Genomic DNA, 20,884 nt, shown 5'->3' on the forward strand with positions numbered 1-20,884 from the left:
GAAAAGATTATTTAATTGAGCTATTATTAATTGAAAGGATATAAAATTTCCCACCTATATATGTATGTTCTAATGGGAAAGATATTGTTCAACCCTAATTAGAACAAAAAAACATAAAACCAAGTTTAATGGGACAGATTCAGATTTTAACATATAAAGGATTATTATGTTGTTGGAAAAAAATGACAAGATTAATAATAATTTGTCTGGGAAGCAGTTAAACCACATTTCTGCTTGTAAATGGGGGAGGAACCACATGGTCTCTCCCAAAACTTTCCACAAGCTTCTGTGATGTGGGAATACTACATACCATATGTCTCCTGACTTTTAGGCATTGATTTTATGTGGATCCCACAATCACCAGATTGACTTTATGAGTAAAATATGTTTTAATACTGCACATATATATTTCACTTTGACTGGTTTTTTCAGTTACAAATACATCCATATATTTTGTTTATTTTTTTATTTATTATTTATTTTTCCATAAGTTGGGGTACAGGCAGTATTTGGTTACATGAGTACTTTAGTGGTGATTTGTGAGATTTTGGTGAACCCATCATCCGAGCAGTGTACACTGCACCATATTTGTAGTCTTTTATCCCTCGCCCCCCTCCCACTCTTCCCCACAAGTTCCCAAGGTCCATTGTATCATTCTTATGCCTTTGCGTCCTCATAACTTAGCTCCCACATATCATTGAGAACATACGATGTTTGGTTTTCCATTCCTGAGTTACTTCACTTAGAATAATAGTCTCCAGTCTCATCCAAGTCACCGCAAATGCTGTTAATTCATTTGTTTTTATGGCTGTGTAGTATTCCATCATATACATATACCACAGTTTATTTATCCACTCGTTGATTGATGGGCATTTGGGTTGGGTCCAAAATTTTGCTATTGTGAATTGTGCCACTATAAACATACCTTTTTCAGATAATGATTTATTTTACTCTGGGTAGATACCCAGTAGTGGGACTGCTAGATCAAATGGTAGTTCTACTTTTAGTTCTTTAAGGACTCTCCACACCATTTTCCATAGTAGTTGTACTAGTTTACATTCCCACCAGCAGTGTAGAAATGTTCCCTGTTCATCACATCCATGCCAGCATCTACTATATTTTGATTTCTTGATTATGGCCATTCTTGCAGGAGTAAGGTGGTGTTGCAGTATGGTTTTGATTTGCATTTTCCTGATCATTAATGATGTTGAGCATGTTTTCATATGTTTGTTGGCCATTTGTATATCTTCTTTTGAGAACTGTCTATTCATGTCCTTAGCCCATTTTTTGATGGGATTGTTTGATTTTTTCTTACTGATTTGAGTTTGTTGTAGATTCTGGATATTAGTCCCTGGCGAGATGTATAGATTGTGCAGATTTTCTCCCACTCTGTGGATCATCTGTTTACTCTGCTGACTGTTTCTTTTGCTGTGCAAAAAAGCTCTTTAGTTTAATTAGGTCCCAGCTATTTATCTTTATTTTTATTGCATTTGCTTTTGGGTTATTGGTCATGAAATCCTTGCCTAGAAGGGTTTTTTTTTTCAATATTATCTTTTAGGATTTTTTATAGTTTCAGGTCTTAGGTTTAAGTCCTTAATCCATCTTGAGTAGATTTTTGGGTAAGGTGAGAGATAAGGATCCAGTTTCATTCTCCCACATGTGGCTAGCCAATTATCCCAGCACCATTTGTTGAAAAGGGTGTCCTTTCCCCACTTTATGTTTTTGTTTGCTTTGTCGAAGATCAATTGGCTGTGTTTGGGTTTATTTCTGGGTTCTCTATTCTGTTCCATTGGTGTGTGTGCCTATCTTTATACCAGTACCAGGCTGTTTTGGTGTCTGTGGCCTTAGAGTATAGTTTGAAATCAGGTAGTATAATGCCTCTAGGTTTGTTCTTTTTACTTAGTCTTGCTTTGGCTGTGCAGGCTCTTTTTTGGTTCCCTATGAATTTTAGAATTGTTTATTTCTAATTCTGTGAAGAAGGATGGTGGTATTTTGATGGGGATTGCATTTAATTTTTTGATTGCTTTTGGCAGTATGGTCATTTTCACAATATTGATTCTACCCATCCATGAGCATGGAATGTGTTTCCATTTGTTTGTTTCATCTGTGATTTCTTTCAGCAGTGTTTTGTAGTTTTCCTTTAGAGGTCTTTTAACTCTTTGGTTAGATGTATTCCTAAGTATTTTATTATTTTTTTTTTTGCAGCTATTGTAAAAGGAGTTGAGTTCTTGATTTGATTCTTTGCTTGGTTGCTGTTGGTGTATAGAAGAGCTACTAATTTTTGTACATTAATTTTATATCCAGAAACTTTGCTGAATTCTTTTATTAGTTCTAGGAGCTTTCCAGAGGAGTCCTTAGTGTTTTCAAAGTAAATGATTATATCCTCAGTAAACAGTGACAGTTTGACTTCCTCTTTACCGATTTGGATGCCCCTTATTTCTTTCTCTTGTCTGATTGTTATGGCTAGGACTTCCAGTACTGTGTTGAAGAGTAGTGGTGAGAGTGGGCATCCTTGTCTTGTTCCAGTTCTCAGAGGGAATGCTTTCAACTTTTCCCCATTCAGTATTATGTTGGCTGTAGGTTTGTCATAGATGGCTTTTATTACACAGGGTACATCCCTTGTATGCCGATTTGCTGAGAGTTTTAATCATGAAGTGATGCTGGATTTTGTCGAATGCTTTTTCTGCATCTATTGAGATAATCACGTGATTTTTGTTTTCAATTCTGTTTATGTGGTGTATTACATTTATTGACTTATGTATGTTAAACCATTCCTGCATCCCTGCTATGAAATGCACTCGATCATGGTGGATTATCTTTTTTATATGTTGTTGGATTCAGTTAGCTAGTATTTTGTTAAAGATTTTAATATCAATAGTCATCAAGAATATTGGTCTGTAGTTGTTTTTTTTTTTGTTTTTTTTTTTGAGACGGAGTCTCGCTCTGTCGCCTAGACTGGAGTGCAGTGGCGCTATCTCGGCTCACTGCAAGCTCCACCTCCTGGGTTCACGCCATTCTCCTGCCTCAGCCTCCTGAGTAGCTGGGACTACAGGCAACTGCTACCATGCCCGGCTAATTTTTTTTGTATTTTTTAGTGGAGACGGGGTTTCACTGTTTTAGCCAGGATGGTCTCAATCTCCTGACCTCGTGATCCACCCGCCTTGGCCTCCCAAAGTGCTGGGATTACAGGCGTGAGCCACTGTGCCTGGCCTGGTCTGTAGTTTTCTTCTCTGGTTATGTCCTTTCCTGGTTTTGGTATTAGGGTTATGCTGGCTTCATAAGGGTTCCTTCTTTACCTGACTTGTAGAATAGTTTCAAAAGGATTGGTACCAATTCTTCTTTTAATGTCTGGTAGAATTCTGCTGTGAATCTGTCTGGTCCTGGATATTTTTGTTGTTGTTTTTGGTAATTTTTTAATTACCATTTTAATCTCGCTGCTTGTTATTGGTCTGTTTAGGGTATCTAATTCTTCCTGATTTAAGCTAGGAGGGTTGTATCTTTCCCGGAATTTATCCATCTCTTCTAGGTTTTCTAATTTATATGTGTCAAGGTGTTCATAGTAGCCTTGTATGATCTCTTGTATTTTCGGTGGTGTCAGTTGTAATAGCTCCTGTTTCGTTTTCTTAGTGAGGTTATTTGGATTTTCTCTGTTCTTTTCTTGGTTAATCTTGCTAAAGGTCTATCAATTGTATTTATCTTTTCAAAGAACCAGCATTCTGTTTCATTTATCTTTTCTATTGTTTTATTGTTTCAATTTCATTTAGTTCAGCTCTGATCTTGGTAATTTCCTTTCTTCTGCTGGGTTTGGATTTGGTTTGTTCTTGTTTCTCTAATTCCTCGAGGTGTGACCTTAGATTGTCAATTTGTGCTCTTTCAGTCTCTTTGATGTAGGCGCTTAGGGCTGTGAACTTTCCTCTTAGCGCTGCTTTTGCTGTATCCCTGAGGTTTTGATAGGTTGTCATTATTGTCGTTCAGTTCAAAGAATTTTTAAATTTCCATCTTGATTTTGTTTTTGACCCAGTGCTCATTCAGGAGCAAGTTTTTAATTTCTATATTTGCATGGTTCTGAAGGTTCCTTTTGGAGTTGATTTCCGGCTTTATTCCACTATGGTATGAGAGAGTGCTTGATATAATTTCAATTTTCTTAAATTTATTGAGGCTCGTTTTGTGGCCTATCATATGGTCTGTTTTGGAGAAAGTTCCATGAGCTGTTGAATAGAATGTGTATTCTACAGTTGTTGGATGTAATGTTCTGTATATATCTGTTAAGTCCATTTGTGTCAAGGTATAGTTTAAATGCATGGTTTCTTTGTTGACTTTCTGTCTTGATGATCTGTCTAGTGCTGTCAGTGGAGTATTGAAGTCCCCCACTATTACTATGTTATTGTCTAATTTCTTAGTCTATTAGTAATTGTTTTATAAATTTGGGAGCTCCAGTGTTAGGTGTGTATATGTTTAGGATTGTGGTATTTTCCTGGTGGACAAGGCCTTTTACCATTATATAATGTCCCTCTTTGTCTCTTTTAACTGCTGTTGCTTTAAAATTTGTTTTGTCTGATATAAATATTGCTACCCCTGCTCATTTTTTGTTGCCCATTCTCATGAAATGCCTTTTTTCACCGCTTTAAGTTTATGTGAGTCCTTATATGTTAAGTAGTCTCCTGAGGCAGCAGATGGTTGGTGAGTTCTTATCCATTCTGTGGTTCTTTTAAGGAGAGCATTTAGGTCATTTACATTCTATGTTAATGTTGAAATGTGAGGTACCATTGCATTCATAGTGCTCTTTGTTGCCTGTGTACTTTGGTTTTTTTTTTATTTTTTTGTTTTTGCTTTTTAACATGTATTTTTGTTTCATAGATCCTGTGTTTTGATGTGTTTCCAGGATTCTTTTCAAGATTTAGAGCTCCTTTTAGCAGTTCTTGTAGTGGTAGGTTGGTAATGTGTATTCTCTCAGCATTTGTCTGAAAAAGACTATCTTTCCTTCATATGATGCTTAGTTTTGCTGGATACAAAATTCTTGGCTGATAATTGTTTTGTTTGAGGAGGCTGAAGATAGGGCCCCAAGCCCTTCTAGCTTATAGGGTTTCTGCTCAGAAATCTGCTGTTAATCTGATAAGCTTTCCTTCATAGGTTACCTGGTGCTTCTGTCTCATAGCACTTAAGAATCTTTCCTTTGTCTTAACTTTGGATAACCTGATGACAATGTGTCTAGGTGAAAATCTTTTTGCAATGAATTTTCCAGGTGTTCTTTGTGTTTCTTGTATTTGAATGTCTAGGTCTCTAGCAAGGCCAGGGAAGTTTTCCTTGATTATTTCCCCAAATATGTTTTCCAAGCTTTTAGAATTGTCTTCTTCCTCAGGAACACCAATTATTCTTAAGTTTGGTCATTTAACATAATCCCAGACTTTTTGGAGCCTTTGTTCATATATTTTTATTCCTTTTTCTTTGTCTTTGATTGGGTTAATTTGAAGACCTTGTCTTTGAGCTCTGAATTTCCTTCTTCTACTTGTTCAATTTTATTGCTGAGAATTTCCAGAGCATTTTTCATTTCTAAAAGTATGTCTATAATTTCCTGAGTTTTTGATTGTTTTTTCTTTCTGCTGTTCTGTTTCCTTGAATATTTCTCCTTTCAATTCTTATATCAGTTTTTGGATTTCCTTGCATTGTGCTTTGTCTTTCTCTGGTGCCTCCCTGATTGGCTTAATAACTAACCTCCTGGATTCTTTTTCAGGTAAATCAAGGATTTCTTCTTGGTTTGGATCCATTGCTAGTGAACTAGTGTGATTTTTGAGGGGTGTTTAAGAGCCTTGTTTAGGCGTATTACCAGGGTTGGTTTTTGGTTCCTTCTCATTTTGGTATGCTCTGTGACAGGGAATGCCTAGAGCTGAAGGCTGTTCAGATTCTTTTGTACCACGTGGTGTTCGCTTGATGTAGTACTCCTCCCCCTTTTCCTATGGATGTGGCTTCCTGGGAGCCAAACTGCAGTGATTGTTGTCTCTCTTCAGGATCTAGCCACCCAGCAGTCTACCAGGCTCCGTGCTGGTACTGGGGGTTGTCTGCACAGCGTCATATGATGTGAACCATCTGTGGGTCTCTCAGCCGTGGATACCAGCACCTGTTCTGGTGGAGGTGAAATGGACTCTTTGAGGGTTCTTAGCTTTGGTGGTTTAATGCACTCTTTTTGTGCTGGTTGGTCTCCTGCTGGGACCATCAAGTGGGGGCAGGGCTAGGCGTGTCTGAGCCCAGACTCTCCTTGGGTGGGTCTTGCTGCAGCTGCTCTAGGGGATGGGGTTAGAGTCCCAGGTCCCTGGAGTTGTGTACCTAGGAGGATCATGGCTGCCTTTGCTGAGTCATGTGGTTGTCAGGGAATTGGAGGAAAGCCAGCAGTCACAGGCCTCACCCAGGTCCCATACAAACCAAAGGGCTGGTCTCACTCCCATTGTGCCCCCCAGCTACCCACCCATGCACACTAAACAGCCCAGAGTCTGTGTCTGTTTCCAGGTGGAGGGCGTGAGGTCTTGAAAACTTGCCCCAGGCTACCCACCTCCCAGCTGTGAAGGAAAAGGTTTGGTTCTTCCCCCGCCTTTGGAGTCTGCACACTGGATTTGCGCTCTCCCCTAAGCTCCCCGCTAAGTTCAGGCCGGGAGGCTTCATGCCCCATTCAGGTAGTTACAAAGTTCAGCTAGAGATTTCCTTCTCCCTGTGGAGTTTTACCCCCTGCTCCTCTGGCCACCCTCCTGATGGATCCCTGTGGTGTCAGGCAGGAATGGCCTGCTTGGGGACCGAGCGAGCTCCCAGGGCCTTTCTGCTGCTTCCTCTACCCCTGTATTTCACTCAGCTCTCTAAATTGACTCAGTTCCAGGTAAAGCCAGAAATTCCTCCCTCAAACAGACTTTCAGCTTCTCCAGTGGGGGTGTGTGTCAGGAGAGGAGGGTCTCCCTTTCCTACTTCCACAGTTGGGGCACTCACAGTACTTGGGGTGTCTCCCAGGGCCTTCAGGAGCAGTCCACTTCCTTCAAAGGGTCTGTGGGTCCTCTCAGGATTGCTGGATTGTTCTTGGAGTTGATCTGGAGCTAAAATTCACAGCTCAAACCTCCGCAAGCTGCTCTGTCTGGAGCTGCAATCTAGTCCTGCCTCCCATCCTCCATGATGATCTCTTGTCCATCTGTATATTTTATAGTTAGCAAATGATGTGAGGTAAATTGACAGACACACCCCTCCCCCCAAAATAGGTTTCAATCAAGAGAAGTTATTAGTTTTCCCCCACGTTTTATCTGTTTTTATTAATTGCAACCAGATATCATTGAAACAAGACCTTTGATCTTAGGTTTATTCACACTTACCCAAATTAGCTCCTCAAATACATATTCTACTTCAGTTCATAGATAGGCTTCATCACATTGTTATTACATATATTTTTTGCCATGTCAGTAGAAATTAAGTACCTAATTCCAGCAAGATAGATGTTCATTTCCCTGACAGCTTCAGTTAAGTCAGGATCAATTTTAGTCCCATCCTGCCCACATCTGTCTTCAAACTCCTTTCTACTCTAGATGTCTTTTCCAAATTATGTTCATGCTGCAGTATGCTGCAGTTATTTTCTTCTGACAGGTTACAAGTCTAGCTTGTGGTGCATTGACTTCTCTCTTCTGACATTTTAATTGCTTTGTGTTGTACTTCTGTTTTGCAGATTGACAAATCAGAAAAAAATGTATTTCTGAAGTGTTTACTGCTTTTCTTCTCTTTCTCAAATTGTGTAAGTTTCCATGCTTAGAAGACAAGGATAGTGAATACAACTCCCTTGTTTACTAACTGTTGGCGTGGGCAAGTTGCAGCCTAGACTGGGGTCAGATTGTCGCACTGACCTAAACTGAATTTACAGTTTTTCCAGGCTTGGGGTATTGTTATTCATCACAATCTACATGCAATCATTTTTAAACAATATTTTTTCAATATATATTTGTGTACTCTCTGTATATATGTGTGTTTTAGATTCACAACCAGAAAGATCAAGGGAGTTGAGGCATAGCAGGAACGTAAGTAGCTCTTGGCTATAAAGAAAATCAGCTTCAGTACTGTAGTTTGGGGAACATCAAAACCTTTGGGAAATTTCACTTAATTATGTTCTCTGATTCCAACATATTTCTTTTTACTCACATTTCTTTGTGGGGGTATCTTTTGCATGGAGTTATAGCTATAATTGTTCAAACTGGGACCACACACTAAAATTACAGTTAGTCTCTACTCCAAAGAAACCAGATTCCTGACTTCTTTGAAATTACAGCTGATGTAACCACACTGACCCACATTCCTACCTGGGAGTATCAGTTTGGGTGACTAGTGGCTGTCAACTTCAGAGGGCTATGCCCTTCCCCCATCGCCGGTCACCACATTTCTTATAATTCTCCTTGGTTGTTCCCATAGCCAGCTTCCTCCGTTTCTATTATTTTACAGGTATTTATGCTTTTCTAAATATACACTGAAACATTAAACTAAAGTTGCTTACATGTCTAAGTCTTTGTTCTCTCCCTCCTGCTTCTAATTCTCCCTGTAACACCCTCTTTTTCTGCTTCTTTACCTTTCCTGTACTCCTAACCCCTTATTAACTATCTGAACTCCAATCTATATTTACAGATAAATCATATTATACCTTATCCTAAAGACAAATAAACATTAGGCACATCATGAAAATTAATAGATTGATAGATTAATTTCTATTGAAAGTTCCATGTCCTTGTTAAAGAAGAAATATTCTAAGACTTTTTAAATGGAAAGGAGATTTTATTAAAGACTGTTATGAGAGGGGTCAAGACTATTGTGATAGGGGAGAGAGATTAGGCTCAACTCTATAGCAAAGACAGCTGGGAATTTATAGTGAAAGAGTTCAGAAAATGCTACCCCAAATATGGTATCTTGGCATATTGACGTTGTTTAAGCTGAAGGAATTTGAGAAATGGCATGTGCAGGAAGGACTGTCTGAACTTCCACTGCGGCAGCCATAAGACACTCATGGGAGTGGTGCCCGTGCTATGCCTGGAGGATAGGCACTTTCTTATCTCCAAAGGTGAAGTGAAACCAAGAGGAACCCGAACAAACAGACCTTGCCCGGTTCTCCCCTAGTGTCTTACACTTAGCTCATATCCCTTTGTCCTATCGTATTTCTCTACAACTTTCTAATTTTCATCAAACCTACCATAAAACACACTCAGGTTTATAAGGATGTCTTCAATTCTATATGAAGGCTGTCATATTATGTAAAACTTATGTTAAATTCTTATGTGTGTTATGAATTATTACCTAATTTTTTTTTACCTTGTTAATGTGTCTTTTTTTTTATTTTATTTTTTGAAACAGAGTCTCACTCTGTTGCCTAGGCTGGAGTGCAGTGGTGCCATCTCAGCTCACTGCATCCTCTGCCTCCCGAGTTCAAGCGATTCTCCTGCCTCAGCCTCCCAAGCAGCTGGGACTACCGGCACACGCCACCACGCCCAGCTAATTTTTGTATTTTTAGTAGAGACAGGGTTTCACCACATTGGCCAGGATGATCTTGATCTCTTTACCTCGTGATCCACCTACTTCGGCCTCCCAAAATGCTGGGATTACAGGTGTGAGCCACCATGCCCAGACAATCTGTCTTTTTTTTTTTTTTTTTTTTTTTTTAACAGGGGCCTCAGCCAAAGAACCTAAGATGGGTGGAAGGAAAATATATTTTTCCTCCCCCCCACAATACCTAACTAGCACAGTGAGTGAGATCAGTGAATGGAAAATTTCTAAGGGACAACATCAAGGGTAGGAGAATTCTTGCTGAACTGACTTAGCAGGGCTCTCACTGAAGGTAGGCCAGGTGATCGGATATCAAAAGGTGGGGGATGAGAAATTTGATAAGACAAACAAAGGTGATCAGATATCGAGGGTGGGGGGATTCTTGCTAAACTGACTTAGCATAATTTTTGCGGCAACTGAACTAGCCAGGCTGATGACAAGACTCAAGGATGAGGCCTAGTCCTCTGTATAAAGGCTTAGAGGAGGCTGTCTAAAGTTTGGTCAAAGAGAGACTTTGTCATCCTGGATGACATTAATTTTCTTAGACTGGGTTGTTATACTGTTAAGCTCCTTATTCCTTGGGAAATGTGGGAATCAACAGCTGCTCTTTATTCCTTGAGAAGGATTTGATTAAATATATTGCCATAACATCATGTTTGATAAGCCTGAGAAGAGAACCGAGAAGACTGACATCATCAAGAGGGAAAAAATATGTGCTGCAAAATTTTTCAGTTTTTGTCGTATAAACAGCTATTATTTTCTTAGATACCAAATGCCAACAAATATCTGCTGTGGAGCAGTATTCATAGTTTTGTAAGTAATAGTGAACCTGCATTTTTGGTGATACCAAAAAGTAAAACTATAGAGAATTCAGTTTCTTAACTATATATAATTCTATGTTTTAAGTATTCTTAATTTATATTTACATTTATGTTTGACCAGCTCTCATATGGTTTTTATCTTCACTCTTTTATTCTGTCACTTTCTTTAATGATCTATACTGAAATGACTCTGAGATGCTGCTTTACAACATATTTACATTTCCTTTTTGAAGAGTAAATAACAGGCTAAGGAGGGCAAATATGGTGACATTAGAGACCTTGTAATAAGAAATAATTAGAAATGATCCTTTACACTACATTAGTTTTATTTGGAAAGTAAATTGTTCAGCTTAGGAATGCTGACTTTTAAAGAGAGAAGCAATTTTGAAAAAAAAATCATTAGCATGATTTACAAAATATATATGTATAAGCTACTAATACAATTAATAACTACAAAAAATTAATTGCTTAGATCACAGGAAGAGATGAGAACAGGTCTCAACAAGTTCTAGGATGGATACATTTAGAACATTACTGCTACTTCTATCAGTTATTTTTTTTTCTTATTCATCAGTCCAAGTTGATTTATCATTATCTACTTAAGTGTTTAATCATGTAAGAGATAGTAGATCTTCCCCTATGGAACCTACACTCATACTGCAGTTTATTTCTTGATTATATTTATAATTTTCACTTGTTGTTTATAGCATAAGGATTCTAATAAAACTCACTAAAACAAACCTAATAATTCTCCCAATATAAGAATTTAGTTTTTGTGAGACAAATTATTTCTTTTAAATAGATAGTGCATTTTCCACTATAATTCCAGGAACCAATGGCTGCTTTCCCTTTTTCTCAACAGAGTTCAAGTATCATTTCCCAAATTGTTAAACCATTTATTGTATTTTTGTTATAATAGATTTTACCTTCTACAACTGTTTGCTTTTACTTGTAACCACGGGTACACTATGAAACTATCAGCAAATTAGACAGACCAGCAATAACGAATAAATATATCATAGGCATTCATACTTCCTCACTCATGATTGGATACACTTTTAAAATAATACCAGAAGTTATAGAAACTATTTGGAAAGTGTCAACATACAAATATTGAAAGACCAAAAAGGTTTTAAAATGCATTTCTGTAGGTCACTCTACCTAAACAACAAATCCAAAATACATGGACATATATCTTAATTTATTTGCTTTCTTAACAGAAAAGAGATTATTTAGAATTTATAATTTCTTACCTATATTGAGTTACCATTCTGTACATTCTGCATAATTTTTTATATAGTTCTTTAGGCTAAAATTGAGAGAAATAGATTCCTTAGGCCTTGAGGATGGAATTATTTTGCTACCAAAGGAAGATTCTGTACTTTAATTAGCCTTGGAAAACTTTACTAGAAACATGTGCGTGTGCTTAGTTTTCCCTTCATTGCATAGTACAACATTATCATTTTATTTTCCAGTATACTGATTGACACAGTAACTCCCAACAGTTTTCTCCAGCTGGTGAACTTTAATGAAGAACAGATGATGGATTATACCCTCAGCACTATAGTACCACATCATTACTTTAAACCTATTATGATTACACTTGAATTTGTATAAACTGTATCTCCATGTTTAAAAGTTAGGAATCTTTTTTACACAGTGATATATAAACAAATGTTCACTTAAATGGGAATCATAGTCTTGAGAGGGTCAAAACTGATAATGTGTATTTAAACCACTACTACAGATTCACCTTTCTCTCTCTCTCTCTCTCTCTGTGTGTGTGTGTGTAATGAATGATTAGCTAAGATTTTTATATCTGTAATTTGTAGAATAAACACGATAATGTTGGATACCATAAAATTGTAATTTAAAAAATTATGAAGTGTCAGCCTAACAGCATCTGCACCGATTAAACATTAAAAGTCTCCCCAGTTTTTATAGATGGAGAAACAGGTAATGCAGTTTGCCACAGCTAGTGGCAGAAACAGAATGCAAACCCCAGGCAGCCGGGTTTTTGAACCTGTGTCTAAACTCCCTACTTCATGTGTAACATTACCTACCAAAAGTACAATCACCATTATAAATAAAACCCAGGGCACTGAGATCACTGGACAGTTCTTGTCTAAAATATAGTGATCCAAATTGTCCAGAGTATCTAATCATTAATCATTAGAGTGGAGAAGTGCTGTTCTTCAAAACTGACAAATTCTTGAGGTTAATTCACAGACCCTTGAATATATGCCTATAACCCATCCCCCACCACATGGTCTATGGATTCCAGTTGGAGAAACAACACTGGAAAAGTGAAATGACACAGACTTTAAAGCCACACAAGCAGAGTGTCAAATATATGTCAGTTGCTAAAACAAGCCCTGTGGATATAATGAGAAATAGTGGTGTTGTGGTCCCTATCCTCTCAGAGACAGTAAATGGGCTTATATCATGACCAAAAGTCTTAGCCTTTAATTGTTACATCATTTTTATGAGTATTTTATCAAGATTATAAGTCTGTAAAGTTTGCATCTTCAACAGCTTATGCAACAATGTCTGAAAATGCAAGAACTCAGTCACCTTCTCATGTTGTATCTTCAAAGACTATTTAGGAACTTCAAGAAACATACCAAAGAGTAAAATTATTATTTCTTATTGCATGTAACATGTGATTACTTTGCTCTGGCCTGACTCATTATTATGCTAAATATGCTTGTCACATTTTTATAAAAATAATTTATTTCCTTTTCTTTAACAAGCCCTCAGCAAAACTGAAGCAAGCTAAATGATGTAGTGAAATGTTGGCTTACGATTTGGAAGCCAGATACTTTCAATAACAGATTCTCACTCACTTGCCTGGCCGTTTGTTTGGGAATCCTTTTTATTACCAAATAAAATGAGAGATGGGAGAATGATCTGGATGCATCACATCAGATTTTATTTCTACTATATATGTTTATTTTGATAAATCTAGAGAGATGTTTGAGAAAAAGTTCATATAGTACAGATTTTGTGATTTCAAATCTGGTACAAAATGTTTAAATACACAGGAATCTAAAATTCCCCTACATATAGATAAAGCAACATACATTCACCTTTAAGAAAATTTCCTGAGAAGGAAAAAAATAATCTACTTAGAAATATGCTAAATTGGGCTGGGCGCAGTGGCTCATGCCTATAATCCTAGCACTTTGGGAGGCCGAGGCAGGAGCATCACTGGGGTCCAAGGGTTCGAGACCATCCTGGGCAATGTAACAAGACCCTGTTGTTACAAAAAATAAAAAAAATAGCCAGGTGTGGTGATGTAGTTAGAGGGTACAGTGAACTATGATCACACCACTGTACTCCATCCTGGGCAACAGAGTGAGACCCTATCTCTAAAAAAAATTTAAATGGCTTTAATGAAATTTTATTATTAGAGTATTATAACAAAAAGCTTTTACTGGGTAATTCAGAATTTATAATATTTACTTTTAGCCCTTAATATTAATTTGTTCGATTGTAGTATTTCTTTCATCTACATTGAAGCTGCTGAATATGATGATGTTTATGTAGTAGAAACTATAGCTTGAAGATGTCATATGACTCAATTCTTTTTAAAACATCATTTGAATTTTCAGCTCTGCTTTAATGCAAATGTGTTACCTCCCCAAACATGTGTGCTGTATCATTTAAAGTGTGCTAACACATGCTAGGCTCTGAGAAGAACCAGAATTCTGCCAGATGGGTATTTGTGATGTTCTTAGACAAGTCAGAGTCCCTTAAGGAAGGACCATGGGATTAATCCATACAAAACATTATGATACACACCGTCCCTAAAGTTTGACAATCAAAGTGCAAGTCCTTAAAGCCCATTTTGAACTAAATGTTTTGATAAAGTACTCGTGCAGAGAGTTATACTATCCTTGACAATATAGACTGTGCTTTCAGGTATATATCAAGTTTTTATTTAATACTATATTTTCAGTAATAGCCATAGGTTAGCCTGTGTATGCTATATCTCAAAAGTATAAATCTTAATCATGAAATGTATTCTGTGTACAATAACAGCATCAAATTTATTAAATAAGTATGTGCTGTATTCTGTTCATGATATGGCAGCATATAAAAAAGCTGTTCACTCCCAGCATAACACTTCACAAAGAAACTGGGTTTTTGGGTTTTGCCTTCCTAAATTTATAGAGACATGTGGAGCACATAGGATTTGTCTGTTTACTTGGTGTTGCTATAAATAGCATGCCTCAGTGACGTCCCTATTTGGAAGAGCATTTTATACAGTGAACTTCCAGTGGAATTATGTCATATTCACATGTCCTGGTAGGCAATACCGCTTAGCAGTTTAGGCTCTGGAATCAAAAGGGTTAAACAGTAAACGGGGCTTCATCTACTTCTGGGTCTGGGATCTTCTGCCTGCTGCATAACATTCCTAGATTTCATTCATCCACTCTGTAAAAGGAGGTGGTAATATGATAATTAACTCAGAGGGCTTTTTACGGGAATGGGTAACCCATAGAAAGCATTTAGAATGCTGCCTGGCCCATAGGAAGTGAAGTGCTTAATTATTTACATTACAGGAATTTGTCTGTATATTATTCAAACAGAATGAATTTTAAAGAAGTCAGTTCCGCCTGCCAAGCTACATAGACAATGAGCAGATTGGCATTATCTGTCTCTGGTTCAAACATACTTCTTCCTTAGGGCATTTATACTTGCTTTTTCTAAAATTGCCATGCTTTTTCTCCAAGAAACAATGTGGCTTGCTCGGGCAGTAACTTAAATACCTGCTCAAATAGCATCTCCTATCATTGAGACTTTGCATCCCCAGCACTCCCTCTCTTTTTCTGCTGTACTTTTTCTCCCTGGTGCTTATTCCCATCTACGGTCTGTGTATTTCTTTACATATTTGTGTTATCTGCCTCCCCTCTCTAGAACATGAATTCTGTGATGGCAGGTACTTGGTTCTTCTCACCTTGCTTTCCCGAGCGCGTAGACTGGTGCCTAAAGATTCTCAGTCAATATTGTGAAGGAATTTGTATGAAGCTGTTGTCCTCTCTGTGCCAACTTCTTGTGCTTTCGTAGGGTGGACATCTTGCAGCACTGAGTGTGGTTCTAACATTTTAAACATGTTAAAATTACATCCTCCACTCCCCTCAATAAAACTAGGGCTCTAAATGCAAGCCAACCACAACATGGGATGCTCAGCACAAGACAGCAGTCTTTTACAGTGTTGGAAATAAAATCAAAACACAACAAAACTGACTGCCAAGAGCACATTGAGAGGCTGTACTTCAAGGTTTATTTCAAGGGGAAATTCAAGTGATTTTTAAGAGACTTTCAAAGATAATGTCGACTTTTAACTCTTGCTGAATGGAGAACCTAGAAATCTTCTCTTTTTACCCCCGACACGTATCCTCTGGGTCTTTTGGTTCTCCCCATCTCTCTGTGTGAGTATGAGGAGATGGTGGTCACAGTGAACTAGGAGCTCTATTTAATTTTGAATGAATTCATACTCCTGAAATTCAGAATCACTCAGATAGTTTGAGCTCCTGTTAAGTGTTTATAAATTCAGATTCTGAAACACAGCCCATAGTAGAAGTAACAACACATGTAATGGAATACATGGATACAAATCTTTGGGACAGCTATTATAGAGTTTTTAATGCTAAATAGAATGCACATATAATATAGAAAAGCTGTATAACCCTTTAACTTTGCTTGGCCTAATGGCATACATATTTTTTATCCCCCCTATTATATTACTTTTAAAAACATAACTTACATAATAAAGGTAGAAGCTTTTTATTTCCCTCAGTTTTTATTAAAAACTTGCCAGTCGTTTTCAAAGAAAACCCCAAAATGACATCTGTCTCACTCAACAGGTGATTTGCCCTATATAAGATTTCTTTTAAAAAAAGATAATAATGATGATGGAAACATTTCAATGCTGAAAACAAAGGTATGTGAAAAATTTTAGGATACGAATAATGAGCCAGAAAGTTTTCCTATCATTAGTCAATTTTATAAGAAGAGGAAAAAAGACTAAAATTCAAAACATGTTTTCCTGTGCTATTGTCTGTGGATGACCTACTTGATATTTGGAGCCAAAATAAGAGGAAAACACCAGTGGAGGAGGAAATGACAAATATTACTGGCAAGGCACCTACACTGAAGGGGGACAGTGTGCCTAGCACCTAACAGGACAAGGCACAACTCTATAAATCAGTGATTTTGTGTCAACCATAAGACTAAGAGAAATACCCTGCACTTTTAGAAATCTGACTATGGTGGAGGAATAATTTTAAAGATGTGAATAACAAATTGGCTAAGCCTGCATGCTTTCTGGGGAGAGTATTTTTTCCAGAACTTGTGCTGTCAGTGCAGCTAGCCTAGTCGTGGATCTATTGGGTAAGTAAAGCAAGGTCCAGAGTGTTGACTGCACCTCTTATGTAGGGGTTGGTTGTGATTTTTATCTTTAATGGGGTCATTGAACCCTCTCCATCATGGGCGAAGAGCTCTCTATTTTAATCCTCTCTGCAATTTCTATTTGCTGTTTGTTCTGTGAGTCCCTTTGGCTGAAGAATTTTAAAATAAGGGGGGAAATATCAAGGAGTTTGGTTACATTTTGCTAACTATGCCTCTGAGAAAAGGTGTTGATGAAATCAATGTTTGTTCTGACTTCCCGTGACAGATAAGACTTACCAAGCATTACCCTTTATCTGACTTACCTTTTTCTCATAGCCTTTTTATTTGTCCCAGAGAGAACGGGCATAGTTTTTTAATTGCAGTCAGAGACAGTTTTCATCATGCTACAAACCATTTTACATCCAAGATTTTTCTTTCGGATTTCATTTGTTTTTGAAACCCAGCTTATAAAATGGGGAAATAGTGGTGTATATTCACTTGTATGGAGAGTAATATTTCTTTTGCCTTGAAAACATTGCCCTCTGTGCTATCAAAAATAAAGTGCCATGAAAAATAGTACCCACAGAAAAATATTGACATTTGAGAATTAACCATCTGAGCTCAATTTCTTACAGATCTTTTAAGGCCTTTCCCAACATGGTATTCTTGAACTGTATGTGGAAATAATAGGGTGAATTTACTATCCAATTAAGACTGATAAGAAAGTCATATTTGACATTCATTAAATAAACTCAAGGCTACATCCACTCTGGGACTCTTTGTTTTCAGTTTTCTATAATTTTCTTGCTTACAATAAATGCTAATAAATTTCCTACCACAGTAAAGGCAATAGTGGTATAGTTCTATTATTTACTGCTGATTTTTAAATCTATCTCCTGTCATGGACCTTGATCACAAATGTTATTTGTTGGGAATATAAAAAGTAGTCTTGCCTTTGTGTAATAAAGTGATTCTCAACCTTGGCTGCACATCACGAATTGCCTAGGGAACTTTTAGCCTATTGAGACCTAAGTCTTATCAGACACTCTGATTGTTTTCTTTTTTTTTTTTTAATTGAAAAGTAAACTTTACTGTTGAAAATGCCAACTTGGGGAGGGTAGAAAAATCACACACAAGGCTGCCACTTCACACCTGGAGGGTTGCACGGTGGCCGGGCAGAGGTGCTCCTCACTTCCCAGACAGTGGGGCGGCCAGGCAGAGGCGCTCCTTACTTCCCTATGGCGCAGTGGCCGGGCAGAGGTGTTCCTCGCTTCTCAGACAGTGGGGCGGCCGGGCAGAGGCACTCCTCGTTTCCCATATGGAGACACTTTGATTTTAATTGGTCAAAGACAGAGCCCAGGATCCTTTTTGTAAAGCTCTTCAGGTGATTCTAATGTGCAGTTAAGATTGAGGACCTCTGGTTTAATGCACAGCATTCTGTTCTTGATGGGCGTTGGTTCTGTCACCCAGTTCCAGACAAACTGCTGTGTGACCTTGGGCATCGACTTAGACTCTCTGTGTTTCAGTTTCCTCATCTGTCCAGTGAGGTATTAATTAACAGCATAAAAATGCCTCAAAGATATGGCAAGTTCACTTTCAGACCACTGCAGTAGAGCAAATATCACAACAGAGTCACACAAGTGTTTTGATTTCCTGGTGTTTTGATTTTATGTTTATGGTATAAACATAAAACATGTTTATACCATACAGTCATCTATTAAGTGTTCAATAAACATGATGTTTAAGAAAACAATATACATACCTTAAATAAAAAACATTTTATTACTAAAAAATGCTAACGGTCATCTGAGCTTTCAGATAGTAGTAATCTTTTTTTGCTGGTAAAGCATCTTGGCTCACATTAATAGCTGCTGACCCATCAGGGTGATATTTGCTGAAGGCTGGGCTGGCTGTGGCAGTTTCTTCAAATAAGACAACAATGAAGTTTGCTGCATGGATTAATTCTTCCTTTCACAAAAGATTTCTCTGTAGCATGCAATGCTGTTTGATAGCATTTTACCAACAGTAGAACTTCATTTAATATTTGAGTCAGTCCTCTTAAACTGCTCCACTGCTTTGTCAAATAAATTTATGTTATATTCTAAGTCCTTTGTTATCATATCAGCAGTGTTTACAGCATCTTCCCCGGGAACAGATTTCATGTTAAGAAACCACTTTATTTGCTCATCCATCAGAAGCAACTCCTCATCCATTCAAGTTTTTTCCTGGGCTTATAATAATTCAATTACATCTTCAGGGTCCAGTTCTAATTCTAATTCTCTTGTTCTTTTTACCATTTCTGCAGTTCCTCCTCCACTGAAATTTTGACCCCTCGAAGTCATCCATGAGGGTTGGAATTAACTTCTTCCTAACTCTTGTTAAGGTTGATATTTTGACCTCTTCCCATGAATCATGAATGTTGTGAATGGCATCTGGAATGGTGAATCCTTTCCAGAAGGTTTTACTTTGCCCAGATCCATCAGAGGAATCACTATCTGTAGTAGCTATAGCCTTAAAAATGTATTTCTTAAGTAATAACACTTGAAATTTGAAATTGCTCTTCGATCCATGGCTGCAGAATGGATATTGTGTTACAGAAAGGTAAACAACGTTAATTTCCTTGTGCATCTTCATTGGAGCTCTTGGGTGGCCAGGTGCATTGTCAGTGAGCTGTAATATTTTGAAAGGAATCTTTTTATCTGAGCAGTAGGTCTGAACAGTGCACTTAAAATATTCAGTAGGCCATAGTGTAAACAGATGTGCTGTCACCACCAGACTTTGTTATTCCATTTATAGAGCACAAGAGGAGATTTAGTGTAATTTGTAAGGGCCCTAGGAGTTTTGGAATAATCAGTGAGCACTGGCATCAACTTAAGGTCACCAGTTGCATTAGCCCCTCACAAGACACACAGTCTGTCCTTGAAGCTTTGAAGCCAGGCAGTGACTTCTCTCTGGCTATGAAAGTCCTAGATGGAGTCTCCTTCCAATAGAAGGCTATTTCATTTACACAGAAAATTTGTTTAGTACAGCCATATCCATCAATGATCTTAGCTAGATCTTCAAGATAACTTGCTGCAGCTTCTGTACCAGCACTAGTAGCCTCACCTGGCATTTTTATATTATAGAGATGAACCTTTCTTTAAATTCCATGAACAAACCTCTGCTAGCTTCAGACTTTTCTTCTGTAGCTTTCTTATCTTTTAGCCTTCATAGAATTAAAGAGAGTTAGGGGCTTGTTCTTGATTAAGCTTTGGCTTAAGGGAATTTTCCAGCTGGTTTGATCTTCTGTCCAGACAATTACATCTTTTTTTTGTATCAGCAATAAGGCTGTTTCACTTCCTTATCATTTGTGTGTTCACTGGAGTTTCCTTTGCATTTACAACTTTGCTAACTATTTGATACAGGACACAGAGCTTTTGGCCTGTCTTGCCTTTTGATAGGCCTTCCTCACTGAGCCTAATTATTTCCAGCTTTTCTTTTATAACGAGAGATGTGCAACTCTTCTTTTTACTTGAACACTTAGAGACCAAAAGAGGATTATTAATTGGCCTAATTTCAATATTGTTGTGTCTCTAGGAATGGGGAGGCCCGAGGAGAAGGAGAAAGATGGAGTAACAGCCAGTCTATTGAGCAGTCAGAGCACACACAACATTTATGGAATATATTTACTCTGTTATATGGGCATCCCAAAGGAATTCCAGTAATAACATCAAAGATCACTGACCACAGATCATCAGAACAGATATAGTAATAATAAAAGCATTTGAAATGGCAAGACTTCTCTTCCGGGTTGAGCAGGTATATACACACCTGTGCCCAAAAGTCAAGGGAGCTGAGGGGCTGAAGAAAGAGGCTGATGAGTCCAGTTTCTCAGAAAGAAATATTTATTAGGGACTTAGAAGCAGTATCTCAGGCATCCATGAGATATAGGATGCATGAATCCACCCTCCAGAAAATACCTTTTTAGTTAGCAAATATTTAGGGCAAAGGCTTGTGCAGCTGGTCATATCTCATACTTCCTTGCCAAAATCATGACCACGGGGGAAACTAAATAAGCACCTTTATAAACTATGCTACCAGCATTGTTTAAAGACCTTGCTGCAGAACACTTTGGTTTGTAGGAG

At 37.7% G+C, this 20,884-nt stretch overlaps 1 protein-coding gene across 4 annotated transcripts in view, besides 1 other annotated feature; it reads left to right on the forward strand.

Moving 5' to 3' along the window:
- The window catches only part of TMTC2 (transmembrane O-mannosyltransferase targeting cadherins 2), a 447,961-nt gene that overhangs the window by 381,340 nt on the left and 45,737 nt on the right, over positions 1-20,884 (forward strand). The gene's annotated exons all lie outside the window — the stretch shown is intronic.
- Positions 5,798-6,997: an enhancer, noted in NCBI's record as "MED14-independent group 3 enhancer chr12:83467822-83469021 (GRCh37/hg19 assembly coordinates)". NCBI's record gives its function as "activates an origin of replication core promoter dependent on BRD2, BRD4, P300/CBP and CDK7 cofactors, and independent of MED14, by STARR-seq in HCT116 cells {active_cell/tissue: HCT116}" and the evidence as "EXISTENCE:reporter gene assay evidence [ECO:0000049][PMID:35650434]".

Source organism: Homo sapiens, chromosome 12 (genome assembly GCF_000001405.40).
Source record: "Homo sapiens chromosome 12, GRCh38.p14 Primary Assembly".
In the NCBI taxonomy this organism is placed as follows: domain Eukaryota; kingdom Metazoa; phylum Chordata; class Mammalia; order Primates; family Hominidae; genus Homo; species Homo sapiens.